The sequence below is a fragment of the Homo sapiens genome, chromosome 1 (genome assembly GCF_000001405.40).
Source record: "Homo sapiens chromosome 1, GRCh38.p14 Primary Assembly".
NCBI lineage: Eukaryota > Metazoa > Chordata > Mammalia > Primates > Hominidae > Homo > Homo sapiens.
The window spans coordinates 26,302,287-26,314,298 of record NC_000001.11 but is presented as its reverse complement, the minus strand read 5'-3'; the positions used below and the strand labels follow the sequence as shown (position 1 = coordinate 26,314,298).

At 48.4% G+C, this 12,012-nt stretch overlaps 1 protein-coding gene across 5 annotated transcripts in view, besides 3 other annotated features; it reads left to right on the top strand.

Moving 5' to 3' along the window:
- The window catches only part of UBXN11 (UBX domain protein 11), a 36,074-nt gene that overhangs the window by 4,057 nt on the left and 20,005 nt on the right, over positions 1-12,012 (top strand). For 3 of the 5 annotated variants that reach the window (NM_001389559.1, NM_001077262.2, NM_001389556.1), the window contains exons 1-2: positions 7,663-7,707; positions 11,381-11,486. In NM_001389559.1, the coding sequence (NP_001376488.1) occupies positions 11,416-11,486 (71 nt within the window). In that variant the 5' untranslated portion in view covers positions 7,663-7,707; positions 11,381-11,415. Of the gene's footprint in view, positions 1-7,594; positions 7,708-11,131; positions 11,257-11,380; positions 11,487-12,012 lie in introns of those variants that run through there. The other 2 variants (NM_183008.3, NM_145345.3) reach the window with 2 other exon arrangements.
- Positions 7,333-7,422: an enhancer, noted in NCBI's record as "active region_493". NCBI's record gives its function as "activates an Ori minimal core promoter by ATAC-STARR-seq in GM12878 lymphoblastoid cells {active_cell/tissue: GM12878}" and the evidence as "EXISTENCE:reporter gene assay evidence [ECO:0000049][PMID:35858748]".
- Positions 7,823-7,872: an enhancer, noted in NCBI's record as "active region_492". NCBI's record gives its function as "activates an Ori minimal core promoter by ATAC-STARR-seq in GM12878 lymphoblastoid cells {active_cell/tissue: GM12878}" and the evidence as "EXISTENCE:reporter gene assay evidence [ECO:0000049][PMID:35858748]".
- Positions 10,556-11,755: an enhancer, noted in NCBI's record as "CDK7 strongly-dependent group 2 enhancer chr1:26629035-26630234 (GRCh37/hg19 assembly coordinates)". NCBI's record gives its function as "activates an origin of replication core promoter dependent on BRD2, BRD4, P300/CBP, MED14 and CDK7 cofactors, with strong dependence on CDK7, by STARR-seq in HCT116 cells {active_cell/tissue: HCT116}" and the evidence as "EXISTENCE:reporter gene assay evidence [ECO:0000049][PMID:35650434]".

Genomic DNA, 12,012 nt, shown 5'->3' with positions numbered 1-12,012 from the left:
GGAGTGAGAGTAAACAGGAAACAACAGCCCAACCCTCAAAGAAATTGAAGACAACATGACCAAAAAGCAGAAACAGATAATAGAAAGTTATACAAAAGATCCAGATAATGGAATAATCAATCAAATTTTCAAATAACTATGCTTACTTAAAGACATTTTCCTCTTCTGCCCTCTGAGCAGCAGGACAAGATTGAGAACTAGAAATTATAGTAAAGAACCGGCCGGGCGCGGTGGCTAACACCTGTAATCCCAGAACTTTGAGAGGCCGAGGCGAGTCGATCACAAGGTCAGGAGATCGAGACCATCCTGGCTAACAAAGTGAAACCCCATCTCTACTAAAAATACAAAAACTTAGCCAGGCATGGTGGCGGGCACCTGTAGTCCCAGCTACTCGGGAGGCTGAGGTAGGAGAATGGCATGAACCTGGAAGGCAGAGCTTGTGGTGAGCCGAGATCGTGCCACTGCACTCCAGCCTGGGCGATGGAGCAAGACTAAGTCTCAAAAAAAAAAAAAAAAGAAAAAAAATTATAGTAAAGAACCAAATGGAAATTCTAGAACTGAGAAATATGGTAATAAAAATTAGGAACTCAGTGGATAGGTTTAACATCAGATTGGGCACAACTGAAGAGAAAATTAGTGAAGTGAAGTAAAGATCGTAAGAAAGTATTATTAGAGCAGAATGTGTTTATTGGGTGCCTGCTGTGTACCAGGTACTGAACTAGGCACTGGGAATACAACAGTGACATAAAGACATGGTCCCTGCTATTATGGAGCTGATATTTGAGTGGGGGAAGACTAATAAAAAACAATGGTAATTTCAGATGTTCACAAATGGCATCAGGAAATCAAGGGGGTAATGTGAGAAGAAGAAGAAGTGAAATGTGGGGAGGATATATTCTAGGTCAGTGGTCAGGAAAGACCACTCAGAGGAAATGTGTGTGCTGAGACCTGCAGAACAAGAGAAGACCAGGCATGCAAAGCACCTTAGATCACAATTCCATCCCAGTTCCACAGTGTCTTTTGATGACTGTCCCTGGGGCCTAGCACAGTCTCACATAGGCCAGGTTCTCCAAATGTCCTTGGTCAATGATAGAATGGAATACAGCAGGGAGGGAGGAAGGAGAAGAGAGTTATAGCACACGTCACAGTGTGATCCGCCTTGAATTTTTCATCCTCACTGAGACAGGGCTGGGATTCAGTAGCATCATACAGCATCCAAGGTGAATCTTCATCCACCCATTCATTCACCTATCCACGCACCCACCTATCCATTCAGTCTTTTGCTCATTCACTCTTTTTTTTTTTTTTTTTTTTTTTTTGAGACAGAGTTTTGCTCTTGTTGCCCAGTCTGGAGTGCAATGGCGGGATCTCAGTTCACTGCAACCTCCACCTCCTAGGTTCAAGCGATTCTCCTGCCTCAGCATCCTGAGTAGCTGGGATTACAGGTGCATGCCAACACGCCCAGCTAATTTTTTGTATTTTTAGTAGAGACAGGGTTTCTCCATGTTGGCCAGGCTGGTCTCAAACTCCTAACCTCAGGTGATCTGCCCACCTCGGCCTCCCAAAGTGCTGGGATTACAGTCGTGAGCCACTGTGTCCAGCCTCATTCACTCTTTTAATTAATTTATTGACACCTACTGTGTGTCAGGCAAGGTGAATGAGTGAGGGTCCTTTCCCCTGAGGAATTTATAGTCCAGCAGGGAGACCCATACGAAAATCACAAAACTGAAGAAGAAATGCTATAATGGGCCAGGCGTGGTGGTTCATGCCTGTAATCCCAGCACTTTGAGAGGCCGAGGCGGGCAGATCACCTGAGGTCGGGAGTTTGAAACCAGCCTGGCCAACATGGAGAAACCCTGTCTCTACTGAAAATACAAAAAATTAGCTGGGCGTGGTGGCATGCACCTGTAATCTCAGCTACTCAGGACGCTGAGGCAGGAGAATCGCTTGAACCCAGAGGTGGAGATTGCAGTGAACTGAGATCCTGCCATTGCACTCCAGCCTGGGTGACAGAAAGAGATTTTGTCTCAAAAAAAAAGAAATGCTATAATGGCAGCAGGGCTTTTAGACAGTGGATTTTAGAGTGTGGTTCTGCTTGCAGGGGAGTGGGGATGAACCAGAGATGATTTCATGGGGGAGGGGACATTTGAACTTGTTGAAGGATCGAGTGGGAATTTTCCCAAATGGAAAAGGCAAGAGAGGATGTTCTCATTGGAAGGAGAGGCCAGAACGTAGGGGAGAACATGACGGTTTCTGGAACGTGAGAAAGGCGGAACCCAAAATAGGAGGGCTCTAAATATCAGGCTAAGCTGTAGATGATGAGGGCTTCGTCTAAGGTGGTGGTGATGTGGGTGGAGAAGGGAGAAGGTGGAAGAGATAGCTAGATTTGTATTCTGCTAAAGAGACTTGGAGGAACTCCTTTATTATTTACCTTTTACTTCCTGAGCTGGTAGAACTCAATAAACTCTTTAACCTCAGAGGGGTCATAACTGTAAGGCTCTTTCAGGAAATGACCTAAAAGCAAAGCAGACTCTGTCCACTCTCAAGAATAGACTTGTGGCTGGGTGCGGTGGGTCATGCCTGTAATCCCAACACTCTGGGAGGCCGAGGCGGGCGGATCACGAGGTCAGGAGTTTCAGACCAGCCTGACCAACATGGTGAAACTCTGTCTCTACTAAAAATACAAAAATTAGCTGGGCATGGTGGCACGTGCCTGTAATCTTAGCTACTCGGGAGGCTGAGGCAGAAGAGTCACTTGAACCCGGGAGGCAGAGTCTGCAGTGAGCCAAGATCGCGCCACTGCACTCCAACCTTGGCAACGAGTGTGAGACTCCATCTCAAAAAAAGAATAGAGACTTCCACCGGGCATGGTGGCTCATGCCTGTAATCCCAGCACTTTGGGAGGCTGAGGCGGGTGGATCATGAGGTCAGGAGTTCAAGACCAGCCTGGCCAACATGGTGAAACCCTGTCTTTACTAAAAAATACAAAAACATTAGCTGGGCATGGTGGTGGGCACCTGTAATCGCAGCTACTCGGGAGGCTGAGGCAGAGAATCGCTTGAACCTGGGAGCTGGAGTTTGCAGTGAGCTGAGATCACGTCACTGCACTCCAGCCTGGAAAACAGAGTGAGATTCTGTCTCAAAAAAAAAAAAAAAAAGAATAGAGACTTCCAGAACCATCTAGCCCCAGAGCTGGGGTCTACTTCCTCACCCTGCAGGTGGGAAACAGGTCCAGAAAGAGCCTTGTTCAAGACCTCCCTCCTCCCAGGCCAGGGCCTTTGCACCATCATCAGACTGAATATCCACCACTGGATGCGATCAAGATGAGGCTGGGCGACCCCATCTCAGAAGTCCAGAGGGAATCCTTCCAGCTTGGAAGTGGTCGGATGGGTCTCCAAGGCCCTCACAACACTCAAGTCTTGTGAGCCTGGAGACCTCAGAGATTTCCAGACCTTCTAAGATGTGGGAAGAGAAATATAGGTTAAAAAAAAAAAATCAGATGAGCTTAGACTCTTGGTTTCTTTTATAATTTTGTTTTTGAAAAAACACCTTTTTTTTTTTTTTTTTTTTTAAGACAGAGTCTGGCACTGTCGCCCAGGCTGGAGTGCAGTGGCGCAATCTTGGCTCACTGCAACCTCAGCCTCCCAGGTTCAAGCAATTCTCCTGCCTTAGCCTCCCGAGTAGCTGGGATTACAGGCGACCGCCACCATGCCCTGCTAATTTTTGTATTTCTTTCTTTTCTTTCTTTCTTTTTTTTTTTGAGATGGAGTCTTGCTCTTGTTGCCCAGGCTGGAGTGCAGTGATGCGACCTTGGCTCACTGTAACCTCCGACTGCTGGGTTCAAGTGATTCTCCTGCTTTAGCCTCCAAAGTAGCTGGGATTATAGGCGCATGCCACCACACCTGGCTGATTTTTGTATTTTTAGTAGAGATGGGGTTTCACCATGTTGGCCAGGCTGGTCTCAAACTCCTGACCTTAGGTGATCCACCCACCTCAGCCTCCCAAAGTGCTGGGATTACAGGCATGAGCCACTGCTCCTGGCCTAGTTTTTGTATTTTTTAGTAGAGACAGGGTTTCGTCATGTTGGCCAGGCTGGTCTCGAACTCCTGATCTCAGGTGATTCACCCACCTCGGCCTCCCAAAATGTTGGGATTACAGGTGTGAACCACTGTGCCCAGCCAAAAACTCCTCCTTTTTGGGCCGGGCACAGTGGCAAGAGGGTATAGTCTCTGCTACTTGGTAGGCTGAGAGGCCGAGACTGGAGGATCCCTTGAGCTCAGGAGTTCAAATCCAACCTGGGCAACATAGACAGAGTCTGTCTCTAAAAATAAATAAATGAGCAAAGAAAGAAAAGAAGAACACCTTTTCAGGAGCAATAATGCAACAACATTATAGGAATTTTTAAAATAGTGTATATATTTTTTTCAGCTGTTGTCCCCACTCATGCTGGGGCCGGTGCCTCATTATGGAAAATTTAATTTGTACAATAATCCTAGGAGGTAGATTCTATTAGTATCTCTACTTTACATTTGTAGACACTGAGACTCTGACAAGTGAAGTATCTTGAGCAGGAACAGCCAGCTATTAAACGACAGAGCCCAGCCTCATAGAGTTGTTAAGTTATGCTGGTCCACAGTACAATGTATCCCCAACAAATGATGGCTCTTATTATTTTCCAAGTTTCTCCAGTGAAATTGTATATTTTTATAATAAGGCTCTGACTTTCCCAATAAATGTTATTTTTTTAAAAAAAATCAAACCAGAAGGGCACGGTGGCTCACACCTGTAATCCCAGCACTTTGGGAGGCTGAGGCGGGTAGATCATGAGGTCAGGAGATAGAGACCATCCTGGCCAGCATGGTGAAACCCCATCTCTACTAAAAATACAAAAATTAGCTGGGGGTGGTGGCACTTGCCTGTAATCCCAGCTACTCAGAGGCTGAGGCAGGAGAATTGCTCGAACCAGAGAGTTGGAGATTGCAGTGAGCTGAGATCACACCACTGCACTCCAGCCTGGCGACAGAGTGAGACTCTGTCTCAAAAAAAAAAAAAATCAATTGACTCGGGACAGGGCGCAGTGGCTCACGCCTGTAATCCCAGCACTTTGGGAGGCTGAGGTGGGCGGATCACAAGGTCAGGAGACGGAGACCACACTGGCCAACATCGTGAAACCCCGTCTCTACTAAAAATACAAAAAAATTAGCTGGGCATGGTGGCGTGTGCCTGTAGTCCCAGCTACTTGGGAGGCTGAGGCTGGAGAATCGCTTGAATCTGGGAGGTGGAGGTTGTGGCGAGCCACGATCGTGCCACTGCACTCCAGCCTGGTGACAGAGCAAGACTCAAAAAAAAAAAAAAAAAAAAAATCAAACGACTGGCCTGCCAGGTTAGAGGGCTCCCATTTTCCTCCCAGGAAATAGATGTTTACTGAGTGTCTGCCTGCTGCGGAATCTACAGCCAGGCCCTGGGTGGGAAGAAGGGATGGGGTAAATCCTGGTGCCTGGGTAAATGCCACTCACGATCTGGTTCTTGCTGAGGCAGGAATCAGAGGGCAGACCACAGCAGGGCTCATGAGACCAGAGCTCCTGCTTCCCACGCTTGCTTATCTCCATGAGCAAGGTGACAGTATGAAGTTGCTACTCACCCTGACCATGGGTCCAACCTCAAAAAACACTTGGCCCCGACATGATCTCAGTCTTTCTCATCTTCATATACCTAAAACCTCAGAAAACTTTCTGGGAGCAGCTCAGCAACAAGAGAGCTCTTCCTATGTCCACTCTCCAGTCACACTTTCCGCCCAGACTCCTCCCTTGGCAGTAGGTCTGTACCACCTTCTTCCTTGGCTTATCTATGCCTGCCTTGTTTACCAGAGTGAAAGTTTCTAGGAAGAGCGTGGACTCTTGAGGCTGACCGTTCTGGGTTTGAATCCACTTCTGCTTCCTGCCTTTATAATCTTATGCAAGCCGCTGTACTACCCTGAGCTTGTTTTCTCATCTGTTTTTTTCTTTTTTCTTTTCTTTTCTTTTTTTTTTTTTTGACAGAGTTTCACTCTTGTTGCCCAGGCTGGAGTGCAATGGTGCGATCTCAGCTCACCGCAACCTCCGCCTCCCAGGTTCAAGCGATTCTCCTGCCTCAGCCTTCCTGAGTAGCTGGGATTACAGGCATGCGCCATCATGCCCGGCTGATTTTGTATTTTTAGTAGAGACGGGGTTTCTCCATGTTGGTCAGGCTGGTCTCGAACTCCCGACTTCAGATGATCCGCCTGCCTCAGCCTCCCAAAATGCTGGGATTACAGGCGTGAACCACCACGCCCGGCCCTCATCTGTAAATTTCATGTTACCATCTGGTACTTGGCACTCAGTAGTAGTAGCTCTCTTTAGCTTCCAATTTGCATATAAAGAATGCTGTCCACTTTGGGAGGCAGAGATGGGCGGATGGCTTGAGCTCAGGAGTTTGAGACCAGGCTGGGCAACATGGCAAGACCCCGTCTCTACAAGAAAATACAAAAACTAGCTGGGCGTTGTTGTGCACACCTGTAGTCCCAGCTACACTGGTGGCTGTGATGGGAGGATAGCTTGAGCCTGGGAGGCGGATGTTGCAGTGAGCAGAGCCTACCCTTCCCTGAATGTGGTAGGCTAGAAAGTCAAACGGAAAATTAAAAAAAAAAAAAAAAAAAAGCAACAGAAAAACACTCTTGGGTTGTGCAGAGAAAGGGCTTTTGAACCTGGGCACAAAGAAGTGAGTGCCTGAGATCAGAAATCATAAACTCCCAGACCATCACAGCTGAAAGGGTGAAGAGATGATGATGATGATTAACAGCAGGAAACGTTTTTGAAAAAGTGCTCTCTACAGGTGTTTCTGTTTCGGCTTTCCCCTTTAAAATCGTGTACTTTGCATTACCTTATTTAATCCTCACGGCAACCCAGTGGGGGTAGGTATTATCACTGTTTTACAGATATAAAAACTAAGGTGTATAAAGTGCCCAAGAACACACAGTAAGGAGCCAGGACTCCTAATTCCAAAGTTCGTGGTCTTAACTGCCTTTAGCTGTTTTGGTGACTGAGTCTAATCCAACACAATTTTACAGATGAGGCTCTGGGAGGGGAAATTGTCTTACCCAACTCTTAACACAAGGGAACTAGAATTTGGGCCGCCCTTCCGGGCGCCAATCTGGTCAAGGATTTGTCACAGAAACTCAGATTTAGGAAACATTTATTAAGTACTTGCATCATTGCAATCCATCCTCAAAGCAGCCTCCGTGAAGTATTACAGTACTTCGTGTTACAATACTGATCATATGGGGAAATAAGCTAAGAGGGATAATTCCTCCCAAGATCAATTTAGCAAAATAGCGGCACTGTCGGGATCACACATTCAGGTCCTGAATGTGAGGCTGCCAGCAGTTTCATTAACCTAATCCCAGGCTCCTTCCTCCCGCACCTGAGGGTAGGAACGAACCACCCCCCCCCCCCACCCCGCCCCGGACCTGGAGCCCTCTCAGAGCGGTGCATTCTGGGATTCGCCCGCGAAGAATACCGACTCTGTGGGCCAATAGAATCCGAGCACAGGCGACTGTATCCACCTTCGCTGTCTGCAGGTTGCTCAGGCCTCCCTCAAACTAGCCAATGAGAAGTGCACGGGTCCTGGTCGCCTAGGAAACCGCGTGACAACAAGATGGCGGCGCTGCGGGACGGCTAGCGGCCCTGCGTGGTGAGTCTGGCTTAAGACCTTTCTGCCCCTGGAGTCCCCACGCAGGCTGGAGCCCGAGCCCCGAGGGCCTGCGAGCTCCGCGGCTCCCACAGGAGAGGTTCAAGACCCTGCTTACCATGACTACGCGTGGAGGCGGAAGGAGGCGACACGGCCTCCAGGGCTGGGTTAGATCGTGATAGACGTCGCTCCCTGAGCGCGTCCTGGGGGCATTAGGGAGTCCTGGCAGCGGGCCGGACCGTGTCCCCGCCAGAGCTCTGGGCTCTGGGGATGACGGAGAGGCCGAGGAGGTGTGAAGAAGAATGTTGTGAGTCAAGCACAGCACTGAGTTTGGTTCCAAAGATGTAGAGGCATGGTGCAGAGATTTGCTCTCAGAGCCAGGTCTGAAGTGGGTGACAACTCTGCCTTAAGGACCTTTTGGCCTGAGGGGTAGTCACAGTCCTGCCCTTGGAAGCCCCAAAGTGAAGGAGTTAGGCGACTGTCCTCAGGGCTCCCTAATCTGAAGGAGAAAGAGATATGCCCCTGCCCTCAGGAGTCCCCCCAAACGGACAGGGAAATGCAGCCTTTGCCTTCAGGGGCCCTTGTAATCTGGGAGAAGATTAACCTGGAGACAATGTGTCGGACTGGACTGGAGTGACACTGGAAGTAGGGAAGTCAGTTGGGAGCCATGTGACAGCCCCCAGAATGGGCAGTGAGAGTCCCACTAGGACGGCCGACGGTGGCCATGGAAAGGGGCAGCTATATGTGAGAGAGTTTAGCCTGCAGGGTTTGATGTAAGAGGCAAGATGGCGTAAGAGGGAAGGAAGGAGAGAAAAAATGTGGTTGGGTGATGGGGTCCCATTAAGAAGGGGGAAGTGGGAGGAAGTGAGTTTGACGAAAATGTTGGATTTGGTTTAGGAGTTTTGTTTTTTTTTCCCATGACAGCTTTATTGAGATATAATTCACGTATTACATACTTCACTCCTTTAAAGTGTAAATTTCAATTTTTAGTATATTTTAGTATATATTCCATTTATATGAAATGTGCAGTGTGGGCAAGTCTATAGAACAGAAAGTAGATTTGTGGTTGCCTAAGGCTGCCTTGGAAAAGGGGTGGGGGCTGGAGGGTAAATTGGGGGTGACTGCCAAAGGGTACAGGGTTTGTTTAGGCTGACGAAAATGTTCTAAAATTGTGATGGTAGTACAGCTCTGTGAATATACTAAAAAGAAAATTACACTGTAAGAAGGTGAAATATGTGAATTATATCTCAAAGCTGTTTTATGAAAAAGGTTGCATACTGTATAATTCCATTTGTGTAACTTTTTTGAAGTAAGAAAATTATAGAGATGGGCCAGGTGGGGTGGCTCACGCCGGTAATCCTAGCACTTTGGGAGGCTGAGGCAGGAGAATTGCTTGAACCTGGGAGGCGGAGGTTGCAGTGAGCCGAGATTGCGCCATTGCTCTCCAGCCTGGGCGACAGAGCGAGACTCCATCTCAAAAAACAAAACAAAAAAAGTATTGAGGGGAGCTGGGTGAAGGATACAAAGGATCTTTCTGTACTATTTTCCTAATTTCCTGTGAATCTATAATAATTTTCAAATAAAAAGCTAAAATATAAGTGAAAAACAAACTGAAGGGGAAAAAAAAGAGTTAGCTGGCCAAGGGAAGGGTGCAGGTAGGAGTGGGGAGACCGTTCTGGGAGTGGGGGGATTGAGGTTGAGGCAGGGGGGATACACATGCATTTGAGGCATTGCTAGAAGTTGAGGTGGCTCAAGTGTGGGAGGCGGCAAGATGGGAGATGAGGTCAGGAGACATAAGCAGGGACCAGGTCACCTATATCAAGGAATTATGAATTTTTTTTTGAGATGGAGTCTTGCTCTGTCACCCAGGCTGGAGTGCAATGGCGCAATCTCTGCTCACTGCAACCTCCGCCTCCTGGGTTCAAGCAATTCTTCTGCCTCGGCCTCCCAAGTAGCTGGGATTACAGGTGCCTGCCACCAAGCCCGGCTAATTTTTGTATTTTTAGTAGAGATGGGGTTTTGCCACGTTGGTCAGGCTGGTCTTGAACTCCTGACCTTAGGTGATCCACCCTCCTCGGCCTCCCAAAGTGTTGGGATTATAGGTGTAAGCCACCGTGCCTGGCCAGAATTTTGAATTTTTTTCTGTGGGTGAGAAGTGCTGGGATTATAGGCATGAGCCACCGCTCCCGGCCTGCTTTATGTTTTAAGATCTCTCTGGTAGCACATGGGAACTAATGAAGGGAGCCTTGGCCATACAACCCGTGAGGCTGCCCAGACAGGGCAGGGGCTGGGGCAGGGTGGGGACAGATTTGGGAGGCTGGATGCTGGGGGTGAAGAAACTCTGGGCCTGATCCTTGAGGAGGGCTCCTTCCAAGGAAGGGGCAGGGCATGATTCTCAAACTCTGCAGTGAAGGCATTGGAGGCTGCCTCCAGGCAGCATAGATTCCCTTGCTGACTGACTTCAGAAGTAGGGTTGAGGCCAGAACCAGACATCTTCAAAGTGGAACTTCTTGGATTTGTCCTAAAAAATTTGGTCCAGGCTGGGTGCAGTGGCTCATGCCTGTAATCCCAGCACTTTGGGAGGTCGAGGGGGGCGGATCACCTGAGGTCATTTACTGAATAGAGTAGTAGCCTTCGATTATGTCCTTCAGGTGCACTCCTTTTTCCAGAAGGAAGAGGAAAGGAAAGGAAACTAACATTTACGAGTGCTTCCTATGTGGCAGCAACAGCAAAAACAACAGCAGCCCCAACTCACATTTTTCAGTGCTTCCTTTGAGCTTGGCGCTGGGCTAGACCTTCTCTGTTATCTCTGAATCTGCTCAGAACCCTGCCTGTGCCAGTACTATTACGACCCCCATTTTATACTAAAAGAAACTGAGGGTGGGTTACTCCAGTGAGTGGCAAAACCTGGCATCTTAACCTTGGTGTCACATGGACTGTGTCTTTTTTTTTTTTTTTTTTTTTGAGATGGAGTTTCGCTCTTGTTGCCCAGGTTGGTTGGAGTGCAATGGTGCAGTCTCATCTCATTGCATCCTCCCCACCTCCTGGGTTCAAGCGATTCTCGTGCCTCAGACTCCCAAGTAGCTGGGACTACAGGAGCACGCCACCACGCCCAGCTAATTTTTGTGTTTTTAGTAGAGACAGGGTTTCACCATGTCGGACAGCTGATCTCGAACCACTGACCTCAGGCGATCCACCCACCTCGGCCTGTGTCTTGATTGAATCCTGCCTGTGGGTTGGCCTCTCTGGCTCTGAGATGTTGGGAGTGGCACCTGGTTTCTGGTGGGAGGGAAGGAGATACTTGGGCTTTGTGTCACCCAGCTGGCTGATGGACGGACAGCCTCCTGGGTAGTAGCATTTTCAGGCTCTAAGTTTGGGAAAGTTCCAGGCTTCTGACTCATTTCTGCATCCCATCCCACCCTCACAGTACTTTCCCAAGCACCACCAGGCCAAAGGTCTCTCAGTTCAGAGCAGAAAGCCGTATACCCAGAGGAGCAGGCAGATAACAGAAACTTCCAGAAACCTCTGTGGAGACAGTGGAAGAGGCAAAAGGTACTGCTGCCTAGACAGCGCTTCCCATTAGGAAGAGTAGCCAGGGAAGTGGAAACTTCAGGCTACCCCCTGGGCTTGGAGCCCTGAGTCTGTCCCCAGGGGCTGACTTCCTGCATTCCTCTAGGGAGTTCCTGACAGCTGGATTCTAGAAGTAGAACTATGAGCTCACCTTTGGCCTCCCTTAGCAAGACCCGAAAAGTGCCCCTGCCCTCGGAGCCTATGAATCCTGGGTAAGGAGCCAGCCTCAGGGGTCTTTCTGTCCCCGCCTCTGTATCCTCTTCTATCCTTCCATGGCCAGAGGACAGTGACTCCTAGTGTCTTGGGGAATACAAAGAAGGGCCACATAGCCTTCCCTGACCACTGTCTTTTTCTTTATACCTTCTTCTGGGGCACCCAACTTTGGATCTGAGCATAAACTGGGTTGTGCTTTTAGTAAGGTATGGGCCCTGTAGGAGTGGCTTGGCATCCCATCTGTTCATTCACTGTTCATTGATTAATTCTGCAAACACAGATGGTCTACGGACCTATCCTGGGCCAGGCCCTGTGTGGGGTTCAGTAAAGGGAATCTTTTACATCTGTCTAGCACTTTCATGTTTTCAAAACATTTTTTACCTCTCTTCCTTCTTGCTCTCTGGAATACCACTTTGAGTCTTTTTTTTTTTTTTTTTTTTTTTTTTTTTAAAGACCAAGTCTCGCTCTGTCGCCCAGGCTGTGGATTGCAGTGGCACGATCTTGGCTCACTGCAACCTGTGCCTC